This window comes from Homo sapiens, chromosome 15 (genome assembly GCF_000001405.40).
Source record: "Homo sapiens chromosome 15, GRCh38.p14 Primary Assembly".
NCBI lineage: Eukaryota > Metazoa > Chordata > Mammalia > Primates > Hominidae > Homo > Homo sapiens.
This window is the reverse complement of record NC_000015.10, coordinates 95,157,704-95,174,497: the sequence shown is the minus strand read 5'-3', so window position 1 is coordinate 95,174,497 and position 16,794 is coordinate 95,157,704. Positions and strand designations below refer to the sequence as shown.

General features: G+C 39.5%; 1 long non-coding RNA gene across 1 annotated transcript in view; it reads right to left on the bottom strand.

Annotated features, from left to right (window-relative positions):
• Positions 1 to 2,710: 2,710 nt before the first annotated feature.
• The window catches only part of LOC105370991 (uncharacterized), a 152,871-nt gene continuing 138,787 nt past the window's right edge, over positions 2,711 to 16,794 (bottom strand). The window contains exons 9-12 of the long non-coding RNA XR_002957693.2: positions 16,123 to 16,412; positions 14,675 to 14,817; positions 14,091 to 14,218; positions 2,711 to 4,860 (exon numbers count right to left, since the gene is read on the bottom strand). This is a non-coding gene — a long non-coding RNA (uncharacterized LOC105370991). The remainder of the gene's footprint in view (positions 4,861 to 14,090; positions 14,219 to 14,674; positions 14,818 to 16,122; positions 16,413 to 16,794) is intronic.

Sequence of the window (16,794 nt, the reverse complement as noted above, 5' to 3'; positions counted from 1 at the left end):
TAGCTGATCCTGCTGCGGCCTCACTGGGACAATGAGGAAGAAATTCTTAGGAATTTGGTTGTTGACATGGCTGTGCAGAATTTAGACTGAGCACTCCCACTGGGTTTCTGCTGTTAAACATCATCCCCAATTGTTACAGGAGCCAGAAAGCGATCTCATTTCTCTTAAGCAATTTTATATATTTTCTTAACAGGGGGAGGTTTAAAACTGTTACTTAAAGTACTCTTGAATGGCTTTTTGAAGAAACATGGAAATATATTGCCAGGAAAATGGGGGAGTATGTTCAAAGTAAGAAAAAATCTAAGACTCTCTGCTTAGGTATTTGTGTAAAACCTGAAATTTAAAAAAAAAGCTCATAATCAAGTAATTTTTATTAGACATTTATAGTCTTGCCAATAATAAATTTCGTGACCTTTGTTCTTCTAAAGTCTAGAGAAAGAACCAGAACTGAAGTGCTTTGAGCTCCTCCAGGTGATGTTCACAGCTTGCGTTTGTGTTTCCAGCCTGGTTCAGCTCTTTTGAACTCACTTCAACCCTTAGCTTACTTATCCAGACCAATCCTGCATGACAGATACCCTCCCTGAGGTGGGGAATGATACCATTCAAATAAATACTTTCATACTTCTGGACCCTGCTTTATTCCTAGTAAACTTATTTTTCTCATCAGTGTGTATGGAAGCTTTTTAAAAGAAGTTTCCATGCTAATTAATTATATTATTATTACTAGAGGAAGAAGAAGAAGAGTGAAGAAACTTTCCCCAATAAGAGAAACTTCAGTTTTTTGCCCTGTCTCCCAAGGAGGTCACGTATTGGCCATCATGTAAAACTTGGCATGCTTCTGTGAAGGGATTTATTAGTTAATTCTTCCATCCTGTTGATTAGCAGTGTTTATTAAGTGCCTGATTCCCATAGTAAGTGGCATAGAAGAAAAACATTCTGCATTTCTTTCATAGAGGAAGTGGAGAGCAAAAGAAGGTGCATCTGTAAGCTCTGCATTGACAGGCAGACCTCAGGGTACTGCAGGTTTGCTTTCAGATCACTGCAACAAAGCAAATATTGCAATAAAGCAAATATTGCAATAAAGAGTCACACAATTTTTTGGTTTCCCAGTACATATGAAAACTATGTTTATTTTATACTGTAGTCGATCAAGTGTGCAACAGCATTATATCTAGAAAAGTACACACCTTGATTAAAAAATAATTTATTGTTAAAAACGCTGACACTGAGGCACAGAATGAGCACATGGTTTTGGAAAAATGGCACTAATGGACTTGCTCAATGCAAGGCTGCCACAAACCTTCAGTTTGTAAAAAACATGCTATATCTGCAAAACGCAATAAGGTGAGGTGCAATAAAACAAGTTGTGCCTATAAACAGTGAGGAATTCACATTTAATGAGCACCAACTACAAGTCCATCTAGATATGTCATCTGATATTATCTATGTAATTTCAGTTTTTCCCTGCCTTTGGGAGATGGGGGAATTGACATTTTTATGAAGCTAGAAAACTCGGCAAAGGAGGCAAAGACAAAATGCTACTGAGTCAGGATTTCAGGATTCAACCCGTAGTGCAGTTAACTTCAAGCCGGAGTACTTCCTGTCATAGCATCGTGTCTCATAGTCGACAGAATCAGTCAGGCAAAGGGATAATGTGGGTCTTAATCCATACTTTAGAGGAGAGTCAGATGTGAACCTTAAGGAAAGAGAGAGAGAAAGCAGCAACCTGGGAAGCTAAAATGGGAGGCATGGTTAGGGGTAATCTTGTTGGGATAAAGGGAATGGGAGTAAACTGAAGCTGGGACACAAGATGGCTAGGCTTTTCCACTGGGCAATGAAATACCTGGGCATGTTATAATTCCTAAGTAACATACCCAGGTATTTTTTGGTTTCTCCTTTCAAAGACTCCCTAAGACTTGGGTCTTTGTGCCTAAAGGCTGCTCTTTTTTAACTTGTGGTAGGTTGTTTAGGCGAATCATACCTACATTGGTCTTACTCAGACAACCATACAACCACAGTCTAGATCCAGAAGAACCAGAGGGTTTTTTTTTTTCATTTTATTTTATTTTTGAGATGGAGTTTCACTCTTGTTGCCCAGGCTGGAGTGCAGTGGTGTGATCTCAGCTCACTGCAACCTCTGCCTCCCGGGTTCAAGAGATTCTCTTGCCCCAGTCTCCCGAGTAGCTGGGATTACAGGCATCTGCCACCATGCCCGGCTAATTTTTGTATTTTTAGTAGACATGGGGTTTCTCCATGTTGGTCAGGCTGGTCTCAAACTCCCGACCTCAGGTGATCTGCCCGCCTTGGCCTCCCGAAGTGCTGGGATTACAGGTGTGAGCCACCGCAGCCGGCCCAGAGGTCTGTCTTAATGGAACGGGTAGATTGGTTTCTAGGACAGTAGCTGGGAACATGAGAGGAGATCTTCTGACATCCAAGTTATCCAAGCCTTCCCTTGGCATAAAACAAAACAAACATATAAATGCCTAAGATGCCTACTTGCTCTTAACTATTAAACCAGAAAGCATATCTGTGGCATCAAATACGTACACTATCCCACATGATGAATGTTTCTTGATCATCCACCTTAGCAACCACTATGAAACAACATTCACCCTTTGCCTTATTCCTATTTAGAGTAGTACTGTGTACCTAATTAGGATAGAACTATTCTAGAACTCAACATGTTACTCACAATGTTGGAAGCCTGGCTTAGGCAAAGTACTTGGGAATCTTGCTGGAAGGCACGGTGAACAGTTATCGCCAAGAAGGCATCCAAACCTAGTTTCCATACAGGCATTTATTCTCTAAACCATTTTGAAAACTATCAGACCAAGAGACACTGAAGATCATTATCATCATGCTCATTTTTCAGATAAGAAAATGGACTGCATAAAGATAGTATCTTAATCTCAAACAGTCAGACCCACAGTTTTCATGAATACATTCGGAATTGCCAGAATATGCATATGGAATCTTGACTGGAAAATGGAGTCATCATCTATCAAACTAGAGAACCTCATGCAGTAAGCACTTTTTTTTTCATGAAAGTGATATAATACAGAGTTAGATGAGGATTTTTATCCTGGCTTCATTTCCCACGCATGTAACCTTGGATAAATTACATAACTTCTCTAAATCACAACTGCCTCATCTGTAAAATTAGAAAACAAGAGTACCTGATTCATAAAGTTGTTGTGAGGATTCCAACAACTTGTTAAGGAGGAGAAGATAAACAGAAGAAAGTGAAATAATGCACATAAAGTGTTTTAACACAGTGATTGACATATTCATGGTTCAATACATATTCACCTGGGCTGGTGTCAGCTTTGGGCTTCCCCATTTCCAACTTCCTCAGTTTGTCTTTTTAAACTTCTACCTCCAGCAGTGTGCACAGGGCCTCGCACACAACTGATAATCCCCTCCCTCTATAAATGCTAGTGGAATTCATTAATATGTTCTCTATTAAACTCTTAAGCTATGGGATAGACATCCAGAAATAGTAGCTGGTATTTAAGTCTCTTCTCACTTTGTCCCAACAAATCCTTCCCTACCCTCTTTTGCTCTGAGCCACAGGCACACACATGGCATCATATTTCTTTATGTTGAGCTGGAAGGGGTGTTCATGTCGATAAGAAACCCTCCTCCCACCCCACTTTGTCTGCCCTGCACTTAGGAACCAAGGTTGAGTTCAAACAGGGGTCAGGGAGATAAAAGCCTGAGGCTTAACCACCAATTCACTAGTCTAGTGGCTAAAACTTCCGTCATTTATTTATTGCCATTAAAAAAGGATGAGTTGGGTCCTGTGTCATGATGGCTGTAGGCAGAAGCCCCTGCCGCTTATTATCTGCCCCTCAACTGGGAAACAGAGCAGGCAAATGCCCCTTTCCCCGGGACCTGCTGCCCTGCCTGTGTACTGCGGTCTGAATGGAAATAGAGAGAAGTTTCCTTGCACTTTACGGGCTCTTTTCTTTGTCATCAAGAGGCCAAAAGTACGGACATTTTGAAATAATTGTCAAAGACAATTATTGTCAAAGACACACGCAGGCTGAGGGGGGAGAAGCGGAGGGAGGAAAAAGGACAAACACCCAAGGGCTGTTGCCTCCAGACTGAAAGAGATTTACTGCAGCCGCTACAGAGACTATTTGTTAAGGAGGAGAAGATAAACAGGAGGCATCTTTAGAGCCAATGGTCATGCGGAAGGTGCTAGAAGCATTCCTAGGCAAGAGTAGAGCCCAGCAGAAGCGCCAGCTGGTTGCGGTTGAGTCAGGTCTGTCGTGCACAAAATCTTTATCCCCTGTTCAGTTCTGTGCATGGGCTCTTTTTAAATGTTAGTGCGAGGGAATCCAGCCAGGCACACAAAAAGGACAATTGCACAACAGATTTGAGCTAACAAGCTCGTACTCATGCATCCAAAGAAAACCTGGAAGGCACCAGCCAGCGGAGCCTGGACGAGAAAAAAGGTCTTCAGAATCCCTGCAGTGGCTGACGAGCTTGCAGGAGTCTGAGTGGTGCCATTTCCCTCCTGCTGTAGATCCCCCAAGCTGTCTGCCCCCCTCCTCCACTTTGGCAAAGCGAACAAGATCATAAACGTCAGATGTGGGCTTGTCGCTGTAATGATCTCGTGGCGATGAATAAAAATGTCCGGGTAACAGATTTGTGAATCGAATCTCCTTTCCGTGCCGTGGACCTGCGTGGGCCAGTGCTGCTGCTCACGCTGACTGGGTGTGTGCGCTGCTCACATGAAACTTCTAGTCATCGAGAGTCCACAGGGTTAAGCCTAGAAGGCTAGAATGATATTTTCATCGCCTTTGATGACACACTAAAATAAAGAACGTCGCATTTCGCCGCAGAACATTGAGTCTGTGAAGCCAATGTACATGTGGTTACTATTTGCAGAATTTGGCATTTTCTGTGAATAGTATAAAGCAGGCATTGGATCGGCTGTCATGTTTTGACAGGGTTGTCCTTTTTTCCAGAATGCCACTCTCCCTACTCCCCACCCTCCACTCCCTCTTATTTGAGCAGCAACTCTACCACTTTTTTTTTTTTTAAGTGGACTAAGAAAATTGATGAATAATGAATTAAAAGCTGGACTGGGTCAGGAGTTTAAGGCACAAGGAAACAATCACCCTGAAGAGAGTGGGGCCCCCTAAGGGGAGCCCAGGTCCCTGTTATGACTGTTGGTCAGATTGTCTCCAGACAGCGAGGGCCTCCCCCAGCCCCAGAAATGGGAACAAGGTCAGCCACCACATTAGTTAACAATGTGAAGCAGGAGTTTAAAGCTGTTTTGTTTACAAAGAGCTAATCAGCCTGACAGCCAAGTACCCCAGCCCCTCCCTCTGGTCAATATATTAATATTTGATTGCTGTTTGGGCCTTTGTTTTCCTATTCTCTCAACTCTGGACCTTTCTTACATCCACAACGTAGACAGGAATGAGGTCGACAATGAGAAATAAGTTTATCTCCTCACGGTGACACACATCCATCAGTTTCAGGCACAGTGGGTAAACCTGGGTGTGAGGTTTCAAGTTTCCGTTTGCTGTGTTTGACTTGTAAGCCATTATTAAACACAAACACACACACACACACACACACACACACACACACACACACACACACACACAGAAAGCCCTCTTTGAAACTCCTGAGAATCTGGGGCTTTAGATTTTCACCTTGAGTCCTACACTTGCTAATTAAACTTTTATTTCAAAAGCTGGATTTGACTCTAAGGACAACTTTCTTATTTTTCTTTTTGTTTTGTTCAACATATGTCACTTTCCCTCTATTTTCAAGGGAACAAAAGCCAGAGTGGCCCTACATTGAATACCTTTTTTAATCAATCCTTCAGGTTTATATCAAAATGGTCTCATTGTATATCTGTTTTTCTGTATTAGCAGAAGCAACTGATCTGGCAGTGGAAAAAGTAGCTCTCGCGTGTATTTCAAAGAAGCAACGGTTTTCTGATTAAGCAGCATTATCTTGCATGTTTTAATGAGTGACACAATTACAGTAAAGACTGAAACCAATTGTCAAGATGTCAATGTTGGCTTGGGATGACTGCAGTATAAATCTACTCATGGAATTTTACAGAGCAGTAATAAGAATATCAAACAGGTCATGCACTGTATTATCATTTCATTGTTATTTATGTTTGCCTGGACTTGATTCAGAGTCTCAGAAACCTCTTAGTCTCATGACATTTTTACCTATTAAATCATCATATCCTACCAGAAGCCTGTAGATGAGCCATTACTTAAAGAAAATGAAGTTCTAAAATTAAATTTGTGTTATTGTTTATCTTTGATTTGTGTAGAGGTCACCACACCTCATAGCCATAAAGACACTCATTAATCAGATGAAAATGAATGCATTTAACCATTCATTTATTTTTCATAAAACCTATTGAGCATCTACTATGTGATAAACACTGTGATGACAATTTCCGGAGATATAAAGAAGATAAAAAAGTGTGTTTTCGAATTGCTCTTGATACGACAGATAAAATGATGAACATGTAATCAGTGATGAAATATATTTTATGTATGTAATACTATGTATTAGATACATATATATTTGTTTTTCTCTGTTCAGGGAAGGCTCTATGGCATGAAGCTATTATCATTATTCATCATCTATTGAAAGGACATTACTATGCATGTCTTCAAGATTGTACAGTTTAGTTTTTATATAATTGGTGAAGATAATTTGCTTTATACAGGAGAGCTTTCAAACGACATTTACATACATTAACTAATTTATCTGTGCTCAAAATACTTTTCACCTCACATTTCACATAATAATGCATAGCAGACATTCTTTATCTAGGGGCTTAGCAAATGCAAGAGGTTGACGTGAGCAGTTCATTCATTCAACAACAAATGCATTTTGTTGTTAACAAATATTAATAAATACATACATTAAGTCTCTATCTTGGGTCATGTAAGTAGTAATGAACAAAATAGTTCTTTTCCTTACCTTATATGGTGTATGCAGACTAATGAGAGAAGAGAGACATTGTACAACGAAACACATAATTAACAATTGGACAAATTGTTATTAGGAAACAGAATAGTGTTCTGTGGAAGAGAAGATCAATGAAAGCACACGATTTAGAATCAAGAACAAAGAACACCTGCCTGAGGAATTGGTACATGATCTGAGAATTGAAGATCAAATTAGCCAAAGAGTATTAGAAAGAGTATCCCCAATGCAGGAAAAATATATGCGAAAGTGCCAAAGTATAAAATGACAAATGTATTTGAGAAACTGAAGAATGCGAAAGTGCTGAGGATGTAATATACAAGAGGAAAATAGATAACAATGAGACTGGGGAACTAGGCAGGAAGCGTATCAGAGAGGGCCAATAGGCTAGACTATGCTGCAGTAACAAATAAGTCCTCAAATATCAGCGGCATAGCAAAAAAAAAAAAAAAAAGTTTATACTAGCTTACACATATCATAGTCTGATATAGCAGTGGTGATAGTAGATAGAAAACTTCAGCTCTGCCGGACATGGTGGCTCATGCCTGTAATCCCAGCACTTTGGGAGGCTGAGGCAGGTGATCTCTTGAGGCTAGGTATTGGAGACCACACTGGCCAACATGGCAAAACCCCCTCTCTATTAAAAATACAAAAAATTAGCCAGGTGTGGTGCCACACGCTTGTAATCCCAGTTACTCGGGAGGCTGAGGCACGAGAATTGCTTATATCCTGGAAACGGAGGCTGCAGTAAGCTGAGATAGTGCCACTGCGCTCCAGCCTGGGCAACAGAGCGAGACCCTGTCTAGGGGCAAAAAAAAAAAGAAAACTTCACCCCAAGCCATATAGTCACAGGGGCTGGGGTGGGGAGAGCTACACAGAGAAGGTATGCATGCTTTAATTGCCTTGATTTACAAGAGGCACTTATCACTTAAACACAATTCAATTGATGGGAACTAGTTCACAAGGGCCCACCAGGATGCAAATGGGCTTGGAATTGTGGTTTAGTTGCATGCCCAGTACAAACAAATGATTTGGCAAGGTGCTATCCAGTGTCTATTTGGATCACAGGGGAAGAAACTTTGTACTTTATCCTAAAGGTTACTACAGGGTTGTAACATTGCTATGGTCTGAATGTTTGTGTCCCACCAAAATTTGGGAGGTTATTAGGTCATGAGGGTGGGGCCCTTATGAATGAAATTAGAGCCTTCATAAAAGAAGCCTGAAATGTGATTATGCCACCGTACTCCAGCCTGGGTGACAATAGCAGTGAGAACCTGTCTCAAAAAACCCCAAACAAACAAACAAAACCAGACAAAACAAGCAAAAGAGGCCTGAGGGAGCTCAGTTGGCCCACAGAGAGGAAGACACAGGGAGAGTGCATCCTTTCTGAGCCGGGAAGCAGGATCTTACTGGACACCAAATCTGCTGGTACCTTGATTTTGGACTTCCCATCAGTCAGAACTGTGAGAAATAAATTTCTGTTGTTTGTAAGCTACCCAGTCTGATGTATTTTGTTATGGTAGCCTGAATGGACTTAGACAAACAAAATCAATTTTTGCGTGATCACTCTACTATCAGTGTGAAGAACAGAGTAGACAGGCTCCCTCCGGCCTCTGAGTAAAACCTATGAGATAGATATATTTTTCTCTTCTGTTAGGCAAATGACTGATCCTTATGTTTCCATCCTCATTTTCTGAAAAACTAAAACTTATAGCTAACTTTTCTTGAGAATCACACAGAGGAAAAACAAATTATGGTTGAAGTTGAGTCCACAATTAAAAAAAACTAACAGAGGGCTGGGCACAGTGGCTCACACCTGTAACACCAGCACTTTGGGAGGCTGAGGCAGGTGGATCACGAGGTCAGGAGAGTGAGACCATCCTGGCCAACACGGTGAAACCCCATCTCTACTACAAATACAAAAAGTTAGCCAGATGTGGTGGCACACACCTGTAGTCCCAGCTACTCTGGAGGCTGAGGCAGAAGAATTGCTTGAACCTGGGAGGCGGAGGTTACACTGAGCCAAGATGGCACCACTACACTCCAACCTGGGTGACAGAGCGAGATTCCATCTCAATAAATAAATAAATAAACAAACTAACAGAATAAATAAAAACTCTTCCAAGGTAAAGAACCAAAAAATACAACAAACAACCTTTAGAGCTCCAAGAAGTAAAATTAGAATACTTAAAGTTATAAAAGAGCCTTAAAAAGGTTTAAAACAATAAATGAAGGATAAATCACCACACTAAAAATAGCAACACTAAGTGATAAAACGTGGGAAAAGGAATGAAGTAGAATTATAATTGTAGCATATAGTTCTTAAAATAAAATGAAAGTAGTTAATAGAGTTAATAGATGAAATGGCAAATTAGACATATGTAATAAATGCATTAGTGACTTGACTGAAAGATCCATATATCAAGGATCCAGTGTAAATGCCGAGATGGAGAATGTAAGTGTGAAATCAAGTAATATGGGGAAGAGAATGGGAGGGCTGAAAGAGGGAATGGGGAAAGGGTATTTTGAAAAGGCGATGCAGCCCTTTGGGAGGCCAAGGAGGGTGGATCACCTGAGGTCAGGAGTTCAAGACCAGCCTGGCCAACACGACCTGTATCTACTAAAAAAATAAAAATAAAAATAATAAATAAATAAAAATTAACCGGGGGTGGTGGCAGGCGCCTGTAATCCCAGCTACTCGGGAGGCTGAGGCAGGAGAGTTGCTTGAACCTGGGAGGTGGACGTAGCAGTGAGCCTAGATCACGCCACTATACTCCAGCTTGGACAACAGAGTGAGACTCTGTCTCAAAGACAAAAAAAAAAAAAAAAAAAAAAAGGTAATGTCTTGCCGTTTTACAAAGGAGTTGCTCCTCATATGTGACAGGCATGCGACTGAAACATACAACAATTAGAAACAGTGCCGGACTGGACATGGAGTAAAACATCAGGACATTGAAGAAAAGGAAAATTTTAAAAACGACCATTGAGAATAGACATATCACTTCCAAATGCATATGTACTCATTAAATCAACCTTACATTTTTCAAAAAATTTTTTTCAAAAAAAGAAAAATTTTCAAAACAGAATTTTTTTTTTAAAGAGGAGAGAGGACATAACATTTTCTTATTCCTCTTTCTATTTGTATAGCTCCAAATAGTTATAGAACCTATATCTCTCATGGTATGTACAGCTGGAAAATGGAAAATAATAAAAATGTCTAAAACACATGCTATTTAATTGTGTAGAGGGATGAATAAACATTTAAAGAAACCGTAAAATGTGTTACTTTTATTATTATATGTGTTCTCATCTAAATAATCACCTTTCTTCATTTCCCATGTTATAGTTTCAGTTTTTACACAGTGAGGTTTCTAACACTCCACACACTTAAAGTTTGTATAAAGGTGTGTGTGTATGTGTATGTATATATGTGTATTTGAATATTTAGAAGTGAAGGCTCTGTGTTTAATGAAACCATGATAGAAAAGCATTCTCTGTGATATTAATTAAATTTTAATTCAGGGTGTCATCTCCTTCAGCTCCTGTTCCATTTGCTTGTAAACACATTTCTATTCCTAGTCTTAATTGACTACTTTCCCATAGACTAAAACCACACCCAAGATTTTACCATACTATGAAACCCAACAATGAAACCTTGGGTTTAAGCCTCTAGCTGATGTGGTCTTAATAACAAATGCCACCAACCTTGCACGTCCCTCTGGCTCCAATTATCTCTTTCTCCTTCCCCTCACCGAGAGGCCTTTCAAAAAATGACCAGTCAGCCACCGAAGTCCCTACTTTAAATTTTCCTTTTCTCTAAATTTTTACCGAGCACAGGCTTTATCTTTTTGTTTTTTCACTATCGTCCCTCTGAAACTACCTTAGCAAGCTCATCAATTACATTCACATTTCTAAACCCAATGCTTTCATCTTGCTCTCTTCCTCAGATGTTGGAGAATTTGACATTGTTGACCTCTCCATTCTTCTTGAAGTTCTAATGCTGGGCTTAGAGTCCTCACACTGTCCTGGCTTTTCTCCAATCACCCTGGGCCTTCCTTTTCCGTTATTACTGCTGACTCCTCTTCATCTGATCCTCCCGTCACCGTGCCCCACCTCACCCCTGTGTTAGATGATGGTTTCTTCGTCTGGAGAGCTTACATTCAGCATAATCTGGAATGAATTAGCCAATTTGATGGCTGAGGAGCTTTTCGTCCAAGCCTTTGTGAATATCTTCTGTCTCAGCAAGACCCAAGGACATCAAGTCCCTTGTAAAATTCCATGGTCTAGAATGAGGGATTTAGTGAGGAGGAAGAGAAGGCCAAGGGAAACTAGAGGCACATTATAAACATCTGTTATTACAAATCTCTTCTCTAAGGCTGAGATTGTGAATCACAAGCCATTTAACTTCCACTGCCGAGTGGGAGGGTGAACAGTGTGAATCAGCGGTTAAGATGAGTAACTTAGGAAAACAGATACCTATGGTGATAGGGTCAGCTTCCAACTCAATAACATTACCTGATTAGCTAAAGTATTTGATGCCTGTAATATTGACATTTTTGTTGCCTTTCTCTATTACTTAGAAATAGTTGAATTACATATTCCAAACTGTTCTCTTCTATTCTAGAATTTTTTTCTGCAACTTTACCCAGTGAGATTCTGCATAAACTAGAAGAATATTAAGTCCTTTAAAACAATGAAACCTTGAGTTAAGCTTCTAGCTGGTGTGGTCTTCATATACATAGTCCTTTTACAGCTGGCTGACATTCAGCCAAAGGGACCATGGGTCAGCCAGCAAGTGTTCATGCTCTAAATTGAGGAACATAAAACAAGGGGTGGGAATAGGCTTTGGGACAAAAATGCCCTAAGAAAACATTTGATTATTTTTGAAGTGGAAAGATAGATATTTTTGGAGACAGATACTTCTCTGGGTACTAACAGAAAATCCATTCCTTCATTCCTTTTTACTGAGGGAATCTCTATTTTGTTGGGGCAGCAATGTTATAAGATAAAAATTACTTTTCTAGGGAGATTAGATGACCAGCAATGATCATGTGAGACACATTTCTGGTTATTTCTGTGTATTTCTGAAAAATACTGTGCTTTCCTGATGTAAGTGCCACGTGATTTTCTTGTTTCTAACTCCTTTCTGCAGTCTGGATTACAGTCATGAGGGCTGGAATTGCAACTGCCTTCATGTGCCTAATCACACTGGGAAACCAGAAAGCATTTTCTTTCCACCAGCTTCAGACTGTTTATGTCTGAATTTATTGTTATATGGAAGAAAAATAAATCTCTGTTTAGTCTAACTGGCAGCCACTCGGATTTTTTTGTATGCAGCTGAACCCAAACCCTAACTGATGCAATTTCAAGTCAGACGAACCAGTGCAGCAGAATGAAGAGAACAAAGACTTGATTCAGGCATCTGGTTTGCATCCCAGATTAGCTACTAACATCTAAGAGACCTGGGGCAAGATGTCAAAGCTTCTGAACCTCGGTTTCTGCATCTGTGCATTGGGGCTTACAATATAGAACTCACCCTCTACGTTGGCAATAAGGACTAATTGAATTAATGAATAGCTTCTGTAGACAGGAGTTAAAATCATAATGAAAACCTTAATAGAAGAATGTTTCAAAAGTGCTCTCCAAAGTAACATACATCCAGAAGAATCCATTTAAAGGTGGAGTCTGACTATTTCTGACCCAGTCCATTTGTTTTATGCACTGCCAGCAATATCACTGTAGCGGAAAACATATTTTATGGTGTGCTGGGTGGCTGGAGTAGCACTCAGATGCACGTGCACTAATTCCAGGTCAGCAAGAAAGTTCCAAAGCACCCCTGACAAGACCCAAACTGACCCCTTTTAACTCTTGAGTGAAATGTTATTTTACTCACCCAAGAAATCACTGAAAATAAAGCTATTTCTCAAAGGGGAATCTAAATAAATGTCAGAAAAAGAATAATTCTCTCCAGGGCATCATTCTGAGCTTCCAGTTTGTTCTTATTGCTGTTTTTAAAATAATAACGCAGAGCATCAGGTGTGTTTTCCATTTCTAACCTCAATATAATTACATACACTAACACACATCCTAGTTCGTCTTTTCCTGCTGTGTTCTTTCCGCTTTCAGGAGTGTGGGAATCTTTATGGGAAATTTCCAATAACTCGAGTGTATCTTTGAGATAAGGTAAGCATAATGGGCCATGTAATGGGACAGAGGTGGCTGGTGGGGGGCACTTCTTTTGGGTCAAAGGAACAGAGATTTATCTGAGTAACTTCAGAAGGTGGCAGAAGAGAGAGGTGGTTACCATGTGCTGGCTAGAAACTGCAGCAGGGAAGTAGATTGAAAGCAACATCCCTCTAGGAACCCACTCTCCTGCATTCCACTTTCTTCTCTGCGACTGACAGGCTTCCATCTATTTTCTCTACCAAAGAATTCCCTTTGCAACAGAGTACAGAAAAACTATATCCAGAGCTTCGTGACTCTGACTTTCCTAAGTAGCATCATTATGATGATTGTCTATAGCATGATTTAAAAGTTCACTGAATGTTTTTATACCTGCTTTCTTATTCCTCGAAATACAACTTCTCTCACTCTTCATTTGAATTCATCTCTATTCTACTCTAAATTAATATATTATCTATAAGGATTCAAAATCCTCATGGAAAGCAATCTCCCAAAATCCAAGTTGCAAATCCTGGGCAAAATATCCATCTACACCCCTGAACTAAAATCAAAGTCAAATTTATTCTTCATTTTCACTCTGCACTGCTCTTTTATTCATCATCATAACCATCACCTATAACCTTGGTTTTGCTGAAGTCATGCTCAAAGTACCATGTTGCTGAAGGATTGGAGACTTCGTGACTCAAACGATTGAACAGAGACTTCATGATCCCCTTTGATTCAGTTGCCATATGTCAGTGCTTCCTGTCTGCCCTGGAAGGCTGCACCTTTCTCAGAATCACCCATGTCCTGCTTTCTTTTCCTGTGTTGGGAATATGGCTTCCGTCAGTCCCTCTGGGGAATGAGCTGCCCTTCTGTTGTGAAGCCTGTTTGCTTATCAACCTTTCAGGGAGGGTTTTGTTAAGGAGTCAGGAGGAAGTGCTCACCCAGATAGCACATGTGTCTGTTCTTTGTTGGTGGCAGTCATTGGGGCTTCAAAAGATGTTCAATACATTAGCGATGATCAGCCTCTTTCAGCTTTTTCAGGGTTGCCAAAGAACAGAAATGGCGGGAGCTATTTCACATAATAGAAAAAACACAACCAGTCAACCAACAAAAGACCTCACACAAATCAATTACAGAATTATTAGCAAGCAAGAGCAAACTTTTCAAGAGAGAAGTAGACTTAGTTAAGTCTTCATCTATATGCAAAGATTTGGAGGGAAATAAACCACAAATTTGTATTTCAGTTGCAATGTGATATTAGTATTTTGTTAGTCTTATACTTCCGTTTACATGTTGAAAACTATCCTAAATACCCAAAACATGAATGTGAATAGATTTCTTTATCATATTTGTAAGGCTACAGGGGCAATTCATGAGCAAAACAGATACAATAAATTCATATGTTATATTTTCCACAAGGAAAGTCATCTTAGATTTCATTGTAATTCTCTTAAAATAATTCCAAAAATACAACCAAGTCTGTAAGAATTGAGGTTAGAGTGAAAGAAGTCACTAAAGCACCAACCTTTAAGTGGTTATTTCTATTCTTCCATGTCTAAAGGCATCCAGGAAGAACATTTCTCACCAGCCAGAAGCCAGATGAAAGGGCATGTTAAGTATCCTTATGGCTTCCCAAAACTCTGAGATATATTCTTTCATTTATTCCCCCTTTTTTAAAAAGTTATAAAATAACATCAGTGTAAGAATGTTTCATAATGTACTACCTGGGATGAAATACAACCCAAAATACTCTTCCATAGAAAAGCCTATAGAATATATCCTAAAACCCCAAATTAGGCCCTTTAAATGGATAGCCCATCTACAGACCTTTCGTGAAGCAATTTTGTCCATAAAGAAAAATAATCATTTTCTCTATGATCTCTTGAGTAGGGTGACTCTTCTTGGTGCTCCCATTGTCAACTGGGTTTACCTTTATCATCACTGTAGTTGCTGATTGCTCTCCCAGAGATTAACAAAAAGCTAATTCCAAGTTGTAGTGGCCAGAAAACAAACATGCATAAATGATTTTCCAGGGAAGTAAAGGTGTCTAATGCATCAATTATTGAGAAATATATATAATATTTTGTGTTACAAGTGCTATACTCTACACCCATTAGTCAGTTCTACAGTTACATGTACATTTTACATAAATCACTATTTAACAAAAATAAGCATGATACAAATGTCAAAGCTATTGCTTTGTCCTCAAAAATCCACATTTGGGAAAATAATTAGCTTGCACATGGGAGGGATGAAAAAGAACAATGGGAGATTAACTAATGGGGATATAATACTGAGTTACAAGAGAATCTCTGGACCCAGTAACTCTGCTTCTTCAAAATTTTCAACTAAGGAAACAATTAAAAGAAGTTTCTTTATAAATATTCTCTTGCAGTATTACTTTCAATAATAAAAGTTTGAGAACAACCTAAATGTTCAACAGAGGAGATTGATTAGGGGAAAATGGGGGCAACCTGACAGAATCTTAGCAACCATTAAAATTGAAAATTATAAAAAAGGAGCAGTGAAACAGCCACACTAAAATATGGCATCTCTTTCCTCACTGGAACTATTTAAAATTCACATATGATTTTGTACAAGGCCTGGAGAGAAAGTGAAAAACTTGAAAAGAGTAAATTTGTTATAGTAGTGGAGGTTTATATATATATAACAACATATATATAAATATATAAATAACATATGTAAATCGAATATAAAAATATATATATATTTAATTTGGCACTCTTGTTATATCCTAGTGTACTAGTTGAACTAAAGAAAGTGTAAACTTAAAATTTGTTAGAAAGCCTAAGATAACAAGAAATAAATTGACAGATATCAGGAGTTATAGGAGGCCAACACCTGAGACCCACATGATGACTGTACACAGTCAATGATTAATGTGAAGAATGAAATCTTCCATCCCAACTGGACTGGGCAGAGAGAGCCTTTGGGTGAGAGTCCTTCGCTTACCTCTGTGCTTGATGACTTTTTCCTTGAATCCCAAGGTTATGGTTTAGTTTTTTGCCTTGAACTTGTTTGTCCTCTTTGTCATGACAATGTTCTCCTGTGAAGATTGCACAGTCTCTTCTGTTCCCACTTCCAAACTGCAATACCTTGCTAGAGGAAGTCCCTGAATTGGGTGGAAGTGAACACTGCTGGCTCACACTATCTAAATACAATGGGGCTACCAATACGAATATGGATATTATCTCTGTTGATTTTCTAGTCCATCAAAACTATTGTTAAGTATCTTCTTCATTCTGTAAAATAAGAGACATACATGCCTTTGAGAGTGTGGTACGGTGGTAGGAGGATGGTTTTGCAGTCGGACAGACCTGAGGTCAGTTTCTGGTTCTCCATTTATTATCATGTGAACTCCAACAAGGTACTTACCCTGTGAAAGCCTCAGTGTCCTCCCACAAAAAGGTACGACAATGCTCCTCTCCAACAGTGCTGCTCTGAGACTTAACTACAGTGCCTGGCACATGAAAGGGGTTTAGTAAATGGTATTATTATTATTAAAACACTGCCATCCAGGAGTGGGTGTTGGATAGGAAAGCATTCACAGCCAGAAGTTGAATGGATGGGAGGAAGCTTGAAAGGAGTGTAAGGCAATCCAAACTTTTCAGGCATGAGTGGTTG